This window comes from Homo sapiens, chromosome 21, assembly GCF_000001405.40.
Source record: "Homo sapiens chromosome 21, GRCh38.p14 Primary Assembly".
Classification (NCBI taxonomy): domain Eukaryota; kingdom Metazoa; phylum Chordata; class Mammalia; order Primates; family Hominidae; genus Homo; species Homo sapiens.
In genome coordinates this window covers 35,951,983-35,965,525 of record NC_000021.9, presented here as the reverse complement: position 1 = coordinate 35,965,525, position 13,543 = coordinate 35,951,983, and the positions used below count along the sequence as shown (strand labels likewise).

At 42.7% G+C, this 13,543-nt stretch overlaps 1 long non-coding RNA gene across 1 annotated transcript in view, besides 1 other annotated feature; it reads left to right on the top strand.

The window, feature by feature from the left end:
- Positions 1–10,866, top strand: part of LOC101928269 (uncharacterized) — a 50,008-nt gene extending 39,142 nt beyond the window's left edge. The window contains exon 6 of the long non-coding RNA NR_110418.1: positions 10,701–10,866. This is a non-coding gene — a long non-coding RNA (uncharacterized LOC101928269). The remainder of the gene's footprint in view (positions 1–10,700) is intronic.
- Positions 11,657–12,856: an enhancer, noted in NCBI's record as "BRD4-independent group 4 enhancer chr21:37324968-37326167 (GRCh37/hg19 assembly coordinates)". NCBI's record gives its function as "activates an origin of replication core promoter dependent on BRD2, P300/CBP, MED14 and CDK7 cofactors, and independent of BRD4, by STARR-seq in HCT116 cells {active_cell/tissue: HCT116}" and the evidence as "EXISTENCE:reporter gene assay evidence [ECO:0000049][PMID:35650434]".

Here is a 13,543-nt window from a genome sequence, read left to right as displayed (position 1 = left end):
TGCTATGAATGCAGCAGGAGTACACAAGTGAAGGGCTCACTAATATCTTTGAGAATCTTAGTGTCTGTCTTCTGTAGGCAGGGGTTATGGGTGTAGACACTTCCATCGAACTGAACTTCTTCTTCTTCTTTTTTTTTTTTTTTTAATAGGAGTCTCACTCTGTTGCCCAGGCTGGAGTGCATTGGTGCAATCTGGGCTCACTGTAACATCCATCTCCTGGGTTCAAGCAATTCTCCTGCCTTGGCTGAGATTATAGGCACCCACCACCATGCCCGGCTAATTTTTGTATTTTTAGTAGAGATGGGGTTTCACCATGTTGGCCAGGCTGGTCTTGAACTCCTGACCTCAAGCAATCCTCCTGCCTCGGCCTCCCAAAGTGCTGAGATTACAGGAGTGAGCCACTGCACCCGGCTGCAACTGAACTTCTTTATATCAATGGGGATAGTGAGATTCCAGAATTATAAAACTAGAAGGCAACTCGTAACCACCAGAGGCAAGGTGGCCATAATGATTATAATTGGAAACACTGAAGAATAGTACTTAGGGTGCCTCAACCTTCAGAGATTTGTAGCAATGGTTAAGAGATCCTGGTGTTCCTAGGCATGAGACAGAAGGACAGCTAACTAGGATGTTATTAAGATTGTATAATAATAATAAAAAGAAAGCTGGAGAATAGAAGGTTGACATCAGTCCTTGCAATAAAAAATTGTGGACTCTCACTCAGTTTTCAAATGTAAGCCAGTTTGAAAACCGGCTTGAAGTAAAGTTTTCAAACTGGCTTATTAGGTTGATGCAAAAGTAATTGTGGTTTTGGCCATGACTTTTAATGGCAAAATTGCAATTATTTTTGCACCAACCAAATACATTTGAAAACTGAGTGAGAGTCTACAATTTTTTATTGCAATGACTGATGTGTGGATTGAGGGGAAGACTTAGGCTTCCTTGAAGAAGGACCCTTCTATTTTCCACAGTATACCTGAAAATGTGTTCTTCTAATCTTCCCCTTTAAGGAATTTGCACCCATTTCCCCAAGTAACTAGTGCCAGAGAATAGGGACAATTCAGACTTTTTGAGGATTAGTAATATACAAGGTTTGAGCTGATACTGATAAGGAGTTAAGAAGAAATTACTTAGGCAGGTAGTGAGGGTACGGAAATCCTCGGTAAGGTTTTTCCTTTAATGAAAAGCAGCCCCAAATCATTTTCTAACAAAGAGCAGCCTGTAAAATCAAGCTGCCAACATAGATGCTGGCAGCTGTGCCAATCATGTTCAAGATAGCAACTCCATCTTCCCTTTTCTTTGATAGCCACGTGTACAGTAAGGAACAGACAACATGACCCAGCCAAGGGGAAATTTCATTTGCTAAGTAAGATTAGGGTGGGTGGCCAGCCTTCCCCAGTGGTATGTAAACATCATACCTGATTGAACCAATCTGTGAGCCCTACGTAAATCAGACACCACCTTGAACCAATCTGTGAGTCCTATGTAAATCAGGCACCACCTTGAACCAATCTGTGGGCCCTATGTAAATCAGACACCGCCTCCTCAAGCCTGACTATAAAATCTGGCGCATCTGCCGCCAGCGGGCCTTTTCCTCTCGGAAGTTCCCTCCCTCTCACTAGAGAAAGAGAGCTGTTTTCCTTTCTTTTTCTTTTGCCTATTAAACTTCTGCTCCTAAATGCCTCATGTGTGTCTGTGTCCTAAATTTTCCTGGTGTGAGATGACAAACCCTAGGTATTTACCCCAGACAACATAGCTGCTTCAATACCAAGGGATCTTAAATGATACCAAGGAATATTAAATGCCTTATGTTGTCCCTCCCCACCTGCCCTGTCCCGTTAGATTGGCAGTTTTAGGAAGTCTGGTGATAAATAGAGTTTTACCCCAAGTCTGTTTCACAATGGGTCCATTTGGTCCACTGGGTCCAAAAACTACCCTGTGGTTATTTATCAGGTCCCCAAATATACAATTGGGGTAGATATATTTAGTGGTTGGCAGAACTCCCACTTATGGAGTAAGGAACTATGGTGGGAAGGGCCAAGTAAAGTATCGGAAACTGTTCTTTCCCCATTATTCAAGATGGCAATCAGGAATAACAAGGCATTCCAGGAGGAAGTACAGATATGATTGCTATCATCAAGAACATCAAAGCTGCAAGGAGGTGGTGGTCCCCATAATATCTCCATTCAGTTTACCCACTGTGTCCGTGTAAAAACCAGATAAATGATGGCAGATGCTATTAGGTGATAGCCCCTTGAAGCTGTTGTGCTGGGTTTGCTATATTTACTGATGAAGAGCAACACGCCTTCTCAAACTTCATATGTGACTACTGATCTGGCAAATGATTTCTTGTCAACCTCCATCAATAGGGGGACTCTGCAGTGGTTGGCCTTTCCGTGGCAAGGATAGCAGTATACATTCACTATCTGCATGTCTGCAGGGATCTTGATCATGCTGACATTCTGCAGAACATTGCTCTGTCTCACCTATTAGTGACATCATGCTAATTGGACTTACTGACCTGGGAGTAGCAAGTATCATAGATGCCCTAATACAGGGCATCAACCTGGGATGATTTTAACCCCCAGGGGATATTTGGGAACATCTGCAGATATTTTGGTTGTTATAATTGGTTGACGTGAGCAACTGGCATCTACTGGGTAGAGTTCAGGGATGCTTCTGTACACCCTACAACACAAAGGATAGCCCCCTACCCAAACAAAGAATTATCTGGCTCCAAATGCCAATAGTGTCAAGGTTGGGAAACACTGTCCTAGAAGACACCTGTGTACCAGTGGTGGGAGGTCAACCCTATGCAAATTCAGGAGTCTGTTACATCAACGAAGTTTCTAGGAGTTAAGTAGTCTGGGGCATGCCAGACCATCCTTTTTAAAGTTAAAGGATAATTGGCATATATCAGGCTCTTAAAAATATTTGCTGAATGAATGAGCGAATGAACAGCATATAGAAAAGTTCCCTGTGCAAAGAGAAGGAGGCTTGAGAGAGAGAGTTTCCCAGAGGAAGGCAGAAGTTTGCTGTGGCCAGAGGCCAGGAGAGGGGCTGGAGGTGCGGCCTGGGAGAAGGCTGTGGTTTATATGGTTTACATGCTATTCCTTTAGACACCCACCCACAGAAGGTGGAGGGCAAACAAATGAGAAACAAGGCCTGGTTTGTATTCTAGAAAGATCACTTTTGGACTGGTTAGAGAGGTTGTCCTGAAAGGTTATGAAACCAGAGTCAGTCAAACTAGTCTGGCCCCCCTTTTTTTGCAATAGTCTGGTTGGGAAACCTTGGGCACCTGTTCTGGGTCAGAATGGAAATAAATGGAAGAAACAGATTCCAGAAGATTTGGGAGAAAAAAATTATCAGGAGTTGGTGACTGAATTGAGAGTGTGGGTAAAGGGAGAAGCAGGGGTAGAAGAAAACTCTCAGTTATCTTGGTCTTTGGGTAAATGGGAAGTGCAGGAAAATAATACAGTTTTAAATGGCATTTTTGAGAAGGTTTTGTTCTGGATATTTTGTAATTTAAAGATGTGGGGCTGGGTACAGTGGCTCACACCTGTAATCCCAGCACTTCGGGAGGCCGAGGTGGGCGGATCACTTGAGGCCACCAGCCTGGCCAACATGGTGAAGCCCCGTCTCTACTAAAAATACAAAAACTTGGTTGGGCATGATGGTGTGTGCCTGTAAGCCCAGCTACTCAGGAGGCTGAGGCAGGAGAATCACTTGAACCCAGGAGGTGGAGGTTGCAGTGAGCCGAGATTGCACCACTGCACTCCAGCCTGGGCGACAGAGTGAGACTGTCTCAAACAAAACAAAACAAAGATTGGGGGCATACAAGACATAAAAGAGGAAGAATCCAGCAGGTACCTGGAAAAACAGGGCAGGTTTCAGCTGAAGAAGGAGACTTGGGAGCCTTCCTTGATGGGTGATGTTTGAAGTGATGGATTGCGTGAGAGCATGCAAGAGAAGTTAAATGCTTCATTTGTGTTATTCTGTTTCATCCTCAGCCATGTCTAGAGGAATATTGTCTCCATTTTATAGATGAGGAAACTGAGGCTCAGAAAGTTTATCTAACTCAAGTTGACATAGCTGATGATGGCCAGAACTCATATTCAAACCCAGGCATTTCTGTCTTTAAGGCTTACTCCACCACCTCCTAACTTACCTTTTTTCAACTTTTATGAACCTTTACTTTAAAATGCTATGGGTCTCAGTGACTCACGCCTGTAGTCCCAGCACTTTGGGAGGCCAAGGTGGGTGGATTACTTGAGGTTAGGGGTTCAAGACCAGCCTAGCCAACATGGTGAAACCCCGTCTCTACTAAAAACACAAAAATTAGCCAGGCGTGTGCCTGTAATCCCAGCTACTTGGGAAGCTGAGGCAGGAGAATTGCTTGAATCTGGGAGGTGGAGGTTGCAGTGAACTGAGATCGTGCCACTGCATTCCAGCCTGGATGATGTAGTGAGAACCTTGTTTCAAATAGCAAAAGACTAAGCAGCAGGATGGGAAGGGTTAAATAAAGGATGCTGCATCCATACAATGGACTGCCATGGAACTGTACAAAAGAGTAAGGAAGCTCTTAGGGAATGAATCAGAGGGCTTTGGGGTATGTTGTTACCTTAAACAAAAGCAACAACAAAATCCAATGTGTCAAACACTGTGTCTACTATTCTCTCTTTTGTGTAAGAAAGTGAAAATAACATTTACTTGTATCTGTGTAAAGAAACACAACAAATATAAGATACTTACTGAACTAGTTACTTATAAAGGCAGTGAAAAATGGAGTGGAAGGACACAGAACAGGAGCAAATATTCTCAGTGGACATCTTTTAGATTTGAAGTATGTGAATATAGCACCTATTCAGCAATTAAAACATTAAAAAAGTGGTATATTTACCTATTAGCCTTTATCTACATTTGATATTTATTTCTGCCCCTGGAAAGATGGCTTATGGATTTATAATATTCTGGCTTATGGCTTTATAATATTCTGGTACTTAGCAATCAGTCAATCAATGGATCAATTGACCATCCATCCATCCATCCATCCATCCATCCATCCATCCATCCATCCATCCATCCAATTATTCATCTATGTGCCAGGTGCTGGGCTAGCCACAGGTGAAATAATTGAGAAAATTAAAGGCAGGCATAGTTCCTGCGTTAAGTCTAGACAGAAAAACAGATTAGTCAAACCACCCTACAAATATGCTAAAAATGTCAGCCATGCTATAAAAAGTGTAATATATATATATGTATATGTATATATATATATATAGAGAGAGAGAGAGAGAGAGAGAGACTGAGTTATTCTGGGATGGGGTAGGCAGGGCATGTTAGGAAAGGTTTTCCTGAGGAACTGGCTTCTGCGCTTCAGGAAATGCAGGAAGTAATAGGCAAAGAGAGGGAGGAAAGGTGGAGGGGACAGTATTTGCAAAGGCTCTGAGGCAAGATGGAGCACAATATTTGATGAACCCAAAGAAAGCCCGTGTGGTTGCTGCGTAGGGACTGAGGAGATGGGGCGGATATGTTAGAGAGGGAGGGGTTACAAACATGCAGGATCTTGTCAAGCATGAGGGATTTTGTGATGAAAACTGGATTGGAACCCACTAGAGAGGTTTAGACTACAGTGGAACAATATGATCCCATTAATTAATTAATTTATTTATTTATTTGAGAGGCGTCTCACTGTTGCTCAGGGTGGAGTGCGGTGGCATGATCTTGGCTCACCGTAACCTCCACCTCCTGGGTTCAAGCGATTCTCCTGCCTCAGCCTCCCGAGTAGCTGGGATTACAGGCACATGCCACCACGCATGGCTAATTTTTTATATTTTTAGTAGAGACGGGGTTTCACCATATTGGGCAGGCTGGTCTTGAACTCCTGATCTCAGGTGATCCACCCACCTCGGCCTCCCAAAGTGCTGGGATTACATTTATGTTTTAAGAAGACCACTGAGGACTCTTTAGAGAATGATGGGCGTGTGGAGCAAGAGTTGACTCAAGGAGACCAGCTGGATGGTCCATCGTTAAAGAGTAGGCAAAATGTGACCTTTACTTGGACCAGGGTGGACATTAGGGTTAAGAGAAGTGGATGGATTCAAGAGAAAATGAAACCAAGAAGACTGGGTGATGTGGTTGTATAGGAGTGAAGGAGAGAAGTTGTCAAACATGGATAGGTTTCTGATGAGTACAATGGAAGAAATGGGGTTTCCATTTCCTGAAAACAACAACAACAACAAACCCACACATTAGGGCAGGGTGTTTTCTGGGGAACACGTTGAGTATGAGGGTTCTTGGGCTTTCTGGCAGTTGCCTGTTTTCTTCTGGTTCCTCTGAAGGCTTAGCTGTTAGTCTTCCTTCATGTTTTATAATTCCTTTGTTTTTAAAGGGCTGCCCTTCTATTGCTACTCTCTTCACTGCTTCCGTATTTACAGGGATCTTTTCCTTTATTTTCTCTCGGCCTTCCACAGAATGATTTTGGTAACTTGAGACTACCTTGGGGAATGCAGCCATTATATTTTCAGTCTCTCTGTGTGGCAACACTACCACCGATATTTTCACAGGTTCTCGGTTTGCTAGTGCTGTTTTTGTTTTTTCCTTCTCAACCTTGAAAATACAACACTAACACAATTTTTTGCATCCATGGAAGAATCAGTGGCATCATTGGAAGTTTCCTAAGGGGAACACTTTTCTGTATGAAAAGGAAAGGATGGGAAATTGCTTTATGATTCAAAAGCTGGCATAAACATTTGTTATTATTTTTTTAATCGTGGTTTATTCCTGCATAAGTTATCCAACCATGGAGCCACATTCAGTCAAGGGCATTGTGACCTCTGTGGGGAAACAGAACAACCTGAACACCTGATGCAAACTTTCTGGCCTGAAGGCAGCTCCAGTGACTGATTTCCAACAGATCTGTAAGGACAGCTTGTTTAGAAGTTGTGTCTGCTCCTAGCACAGGTCCTGCAAGGTCTGTTTTTCAAGGAATGAATTCTTTCCATGTTTCTGAATGGAATGGATAGCTACACTTTCATTTGGTCGGTAGTGAGGTATAGGCATGGAGAGATGACAGTTGGTGAGAGAATGAAGCATGAGAGTTTAACAAGGGCCTAGGCAGGCTCAGATTGCTAGCCTTCAGGTGTATTCTATTGGGCACTATGGAGGATATGAGAATGGCCTCAGATCTATGACTGCAGTTGGCATCGTTGACCAACAGCCCCAGCTGCTGTGCTTTGAAATCCATCACTGATCGGCCCGAGACCTTGCTTTTCATGACTGAGCAAGGTGGGATACCCAGACAGGCCTGTTTCTGGGAGAGGTGATGCCTCTGACTGTGGCTTGATGCCTCCCAACTGGCCTTGTAGAACTTCCTGGAGAAATGCACTGTAGTTGAGGAAGCATCTAATTCACCTTGCTTCCTTCCCTCTCTCCTTCATGCAGGTCAGACCTACACGATGGTCTAACATCTCTAGTAGCCTGCTCCTCATGTTGTCTCTGTTATGGACTGAATGTCTTTGCCCCCCAGATTCATATGTTGAAACTCTAATCTCAATGTGATGGCCTTTGGGAGGTGATTAGGTCATGAGGGTGGAGCCTCATGAATGGTATTAGTTCCCTTTAAAGACACTCAGAGAGTTCTTTTGTCCTGTCTTGCCATATGAAGATGTAACAAGAAGTCAGCTGCCTGCAACCCAGAAGAGAGCCCTCCCCAGAACCTAACACTGCTGCTGGCATCCTGATGTCCAACTTTCAGCCTCTGGCACTGTGAGAAATCATGTTCAGCTGTTAATAAGCCACCTAGTCTATGATATTTTGTTATAGCAGCCTGAATAAGAGACTCATAGGCGCTTCTCTTAATAAATTACTTGTACATTGAATCCTGCCCTGGTTTATGCTTTTCAGAAGATCCTGACTTGATTAAAAATTCAGAAGATTCCTTGATTAAAAAAAGTGGGCAGGCATGGTGGCTGACACCTGTAATTCCAGCACTTTGGGAAGCTGAGGCGAGTGGATCACTTGAGGTCAGGAGTTTGAGACCAGCCTGGCCAAAATGGTGAAACCACGTCTCTACTAAAAATACAAAAATTAGCTGGGTGTGGTGGTGCATGCCTGTAATCCCAGCTACTTGGGAGCCTGAGGCAGGAGAATTGCTTGAACCTAGGAGGTGGAGGTTGCAGTGAACTGAGATTGCGTCACTGTGCTCCAGCTTGGGTGACAAAGGAAGATTCTGCCTCAAAAAAAAAAAAAAAAAAAATTTAGAAGGTACACATGCAGTCCCACTGTCTTACCCCTTCTGTCTTGTATTCAGCCTGGTTCACATGTTTATGTTACATGTCTGACTTCTGTAGGTGTTTGATTTTATTTCCTAGGTCTTGTATTATCTTTTATAGAATAGTAGAGACAGAGAAATAGGGAAGGATTGACAAATTGGGAAAATATGACTCTGTTGGTGTATTAGGGTTCTCTAGAGGGGCAGAACTAATAGAAGATACGTATATATATGTATATGTGTGTATATATATAAATATATGTATATGTGTATATATATGTATATGTGTGTGTGTGTGTGTGTGTGTATATATATATATATATATATATATATATATATATATATATATATATATATGGTCTGAGTCCTAAAACTGAAGAACTTGGAGTCTGATGTCTGAGGGCAGGGAGCATCCAGCACGGGAGAAAGACGTAGGCTGGGAGGCTAGGCCAGTCTTTCCTTTTCACGTTTTTCTGCCTGCTTTTTGTTTGTTGGCAGCTGATTAGATTGTGTCCTCCAGGTTAAGGGTGAATCTGCCTTCCCCACCCTACTGACTCAAATGTTAATCTCTTTCGGCAACACCCTCACAGACACACCCAGGATCAATACTTTGTATCCTTCAATCCAATCAAGTTGACACTCAGTATTAACCATCACAAGTTATATGAAGTTAAACTTTTTGATCTTTTGAAATTTATCAAATTTGGATATCATTATCATTCAACATACGAATGATCCATCTAACTTTTACATTTTAGCAATTCATTTAAATTTTTTCTATTTTAATTTAACCTGTGAGTCTATGGAGTTTTCTCAAAATTAGAAAGTTATAGAATTAATGATGCATTTTGCCTTTTGTTAATACACATAATTGTTGAATAGCCAAGTTCTCTTCAGTATTTGTAAAGCCTTGGGTTTTATGTCCACGAATCCTGACTCTGCCCTTGGGAAGAGGTGGATTAAACAATTCCCTTTTGGTACATGGTGCACATGTAGTAGAAATTGTCATATGACTTCAGTAAATAACTTTCTGAAGTTTCCAAACAACAAAAATAGCTTCCCAACAACAAAAGTAGTTTCCCAGCTACTCTTATTAGCTGGGAAAATTTATTAAATTAGCTTATTAAAATTTCCAGTAATTATTTTTATAAAAGAATTTTCTGTATTATTTCTTTCCTTCAAAGCAACTAATCAGCTCAATTATTCTCCTTGATTTGGGATTTATTAGAATCTAAGCTTTGTTGTTGCTGTTGTTAGCCAGAAAGAGATGGCCACACCTCTATCAAGTTGGGAGAACAGAACCATTAGACAGAGTGGATTTTCTCCACCTTAGAAAGTTTTCCCTCCACAAAGAACATGAATGCATCCAGGACCAACTACGTAATTTTTAGGGCTCAGTACAAAAAGAAAATGTGGATCTGCTTGTTGAAAAAGCAGAGAAAAAAATGCTGCTAAAGGTACTAAAATATAAAGTTTTTCTTTTGGTTTTATGAATCTCTTCTGCTCATATGCATGCTCCACTGTCCCAAGTTCAAAGGTAAAATTGGAAAGAATTTCCAGACGGCCACAGCAGAGCATGAAACCAAGCTTGGGACTCTTCTGAGTATGGGACCCTGGGTGTGACTACAGCAGTTCCCATGGAGCTGGCCCTGGATACAACTCACCAGCAAGCCACGAGCAAGCTAGAAGCCAGAGGGAACATTACCCCTCTTCCCTCTGGAGTTTCAGGTGGAGGTGTGGGCAGGGATCATGGTAGCTGCCTGAGTCTGGGCTCCCAGGTGACATGGAAGGCACGGTGCTTTGTATCTGATGTTGGAGAACAGGAGCAGTTTTTCTCTCTCTTCTTTGTTCTCGACTCACCTGGGCAGTGGCTTCACCACACTGTCTATCTTTGTGGAGAGAAGGGGAATGACTTGCTCATGATGGGCAGCGGTATTTTGACTTTCCATTGTAAATACTTGATGTATACGTCTCATTATATTTATTGAGTGCTGGCTCTATGTTGGCTTCTGTTCTAGGTGTTGCTGGGATCTTCCTGTCCTCATGGAGCTTACATTCTCATGGTGGGGAGGCGTGGAATAATCAAAAGGGAGGAGTAGACCCAATGTAAAGAATGTCAAGCATGGGAGTGCTATGGAGGAAAGCAGGGTGGAGAAGGGATGCAGATGTCGGGGCTGCTGGTTTATAGTTGTCAGTAGGGTGGTGAGGGAAGGTCTCACCAAAAGGTGACACTTGATGATGAACTGAAGAAGATAAAGGAGAGAACCATGCTGACCTCTGGGAAAGAGTGTCCGGGACAGTGACAGTCAATGCAAAGATTCTGTGGTGGGAGCAGAGAACTTTGTTCTTCATTGACCTTGCATGAGTTTTTGGTGTGATTTTAGCACATGAAGATCTATGTGAAAACATTCTTTCCCTCTTTTTTAAGGAGAAAAGCAGTCCTTCTGGTACTGGCTGGGTGTGGTGGCTCACACCTGTAATCTCAGCACTTTGGGAGGCCAAGACAGGAGAATTGCTTGAGTCCAGGAGATTGAGACCAGCCTGAGCAACCTACGGAGACCCCCCTCTCTACCAAAAAAAAAAAAAAAAAAAAAGAAAAATAGTACGCCTCTGTCCTTGCAGTTAAAGATGAACAAGGAAGAGTTCCAAAGCCTTGATTGAATGCGGCTTCGTCTCCTCCAGCAGCCGCACAGCTGGGCTCTGACGTCGAGGAACTTCTATAGACAGATCTCTCTTATTAAAGGACATTTCTTATTAATGGCTGACTTCAAAGCAAACTTAAAAAAAATCCAATCGATTTCTCATTTATTACATTTTGTTTTGTAAAAGATTTTATGTCAGTGATTGCAGAATGAAGGTGCCAATAGTAAAATAATTGGTTTATAAATGGAAAGTTAATTAGGCATTCCCCTTTACATCGTCCTCTCCAAGGTCAGGGCATGACTGAAATGCAAAGAAAACACATTTGTACAGCAGGCAGATGAGAGGCTCACGTGGAGGGCTGTTAACCTTGGGGCTTGCCTCCTCAAGTGTTGAAGCAAATGGCTTGATGAGCTTCAAAGGAACGGGACATTATTGTACCTGGGAATATAAGAATGGTGTCTGCAGTTACATTAATTGGGATAACAATTATGAAAGCTTGAGAAGCCTCAAATTTCAGAGCCCACTCTAATCCCCAGGAAGACTTTTCCCTGGGTGGATATAATATTGCTATATTCCAGGTGCATTCCTAAGATGTATTACATTTCTCAGACTTACTTTGTATAGGCCATTGCCAGGGGCAGGTTTGGGGGTGGCCAGAAGATTCTTTGGTTTCAGCCAGGCAACTCTCTGCCTCCCTGGAGGGTTCATGTACTTGGGGAAAGCCAGGGTCAAAGTAGACTTGACATTTGTCTGGAAGCATGAGCTCCATGTCCTGGTTTCAGTGAAACAAAAGGCAGGAATGCAAAGATCTGTTTCCTGGAACTGTTCGTATTTACACAGTGATAACGTATTTCTTCATGTTGTTGACCCAGATGTAGTTGTATCTTGCCTGGTGACAGAGTCTGCTTTGTTGATTGTCTGCTTTGGAATTTTCTGGGCTTCTGTTGAACATGGGACTATGTTTTCCTGGAAAATAGAATATTAAAATAGTTGACAATTCTCCCATAAGTGGAGCTGCGTTCCAAGAACAGCAATGTAGGTAATCCTACCTGATTCACCTCTAGATCTCTACTTTGAGTTTCTGTTGGTGGCAACAAAGCTATCATGAGAAACAACATCCTTCACCTTTGAAAAAGAAAACTTCCATTAAAAAAAAAGCAGGAAGCTTTTTAAAAAATTATCATTGAAGGCTGTTGTCTGATCCTTACTTTAGGGGAAAAACCTTGCAATGTAACAAAAATATCAATGGGTTTACATGAGCGATTCCAAACTCCTTGCAGAAAAACTCTTAGATAGCATTTGGAAGTGTCATTATGGCAGAAGTATATTGAATAACCATGCTCATCTCAATCAGTGATGTTTCTGTATTCACATGGGCCTTGACTTTTGAAGCCTTTAGAGAAGGAAGAGTTGGCATATATTAGACACCAAAGTTTTTGCCAGCTGAATGTGTCATTCTTTCCTTTATCTCTTTACAGGAAATGTTTAGTTATTAAATTCATTGATATTTCCTGAAATGATATTGCTATTTCCCATCTGAAGGACCATAGAGGTGAGCCTCTAGAACATTGTCCCTGAAGATGTTCATGTGATGATTCTAGCACTTACGTCCTCCACAATCTTTCTTTTCTATCGGGCAGTGGCACAGAGGCATTGGGTCTGACATGAAAAGCAAAAGCATGCATAGCCTTTGCCCTGATCCTTCCCACTAGGAAGCCATTTCCTTCCCTCCAGAAACCACTGCCAGTTTTGGACAATCTCCTGCTGATGTTGTTATCATGGGGGACAGAGAGGAAATGGGACAGGAATGTGCTAGAGCTTCTAGCCCCTGCATTTCTGCTTGATTGGCCAAAAGTGATGGACAGACACAGCATTTTGGCTGATTTTGGCACAGAAAATGAAGGGAAGCTGGGCAGGACACCCAGCACAGACCCATGCACTTCATCCATAAAGAAAAACATATTTCTTTAAGTTAAATTAACTTCAGAAGCATGAGCCAGGATGACTCAGTTGGAGTTATGAGGTTCCCAGTTATTGGCTCTAGTGCTACAAACTGGCCCTTACCTCTGTCCTTTCACATCAGGTCCTTCTTCCCTATTTCAATGTCCGTGGGTCTGGAAATGAGTTCATATCTCGTCTGAGAATTTCTACAACTGCCGGAGGCTCACAGGTTTGTTGGAAACTCACAGATGAAAGCACCCGGAAGCTTTTATCTCTCTGCTGAAATGTCTTCCCTGAGGACACACACATAGTGTCATTGTGACCTTTAATCTTAATTCCTAATCATTTTTTTTTTTTTTGAGACAGGGTCTCGTTCTTTTGCCCAGGCTGGAGTGCAGTGGCATAATCTCGGCTCACTGCAACTTCTACCTCCTGGTTTCAAGGCCTCAGCTTCCCGAGTAGCTGGGATTACAGGCACCTGCCACCTCACCTGGCAGTTTTTGTGTTTTTAGCAGAGACGGGGTTTCATAGTGTTGGCCAGGCTAGTCTCGAGCTCTTGACCTCAAGTGATCCATCCATCTTGGCCTCCCAAAGTGCTGGGATTACAAGTGTGAACCACTGCGCCCGGCCAATCCTTTTCTTATCACAGAATAGTTTTGATCACTGGAAAACTGCCAGCTTCTCCAG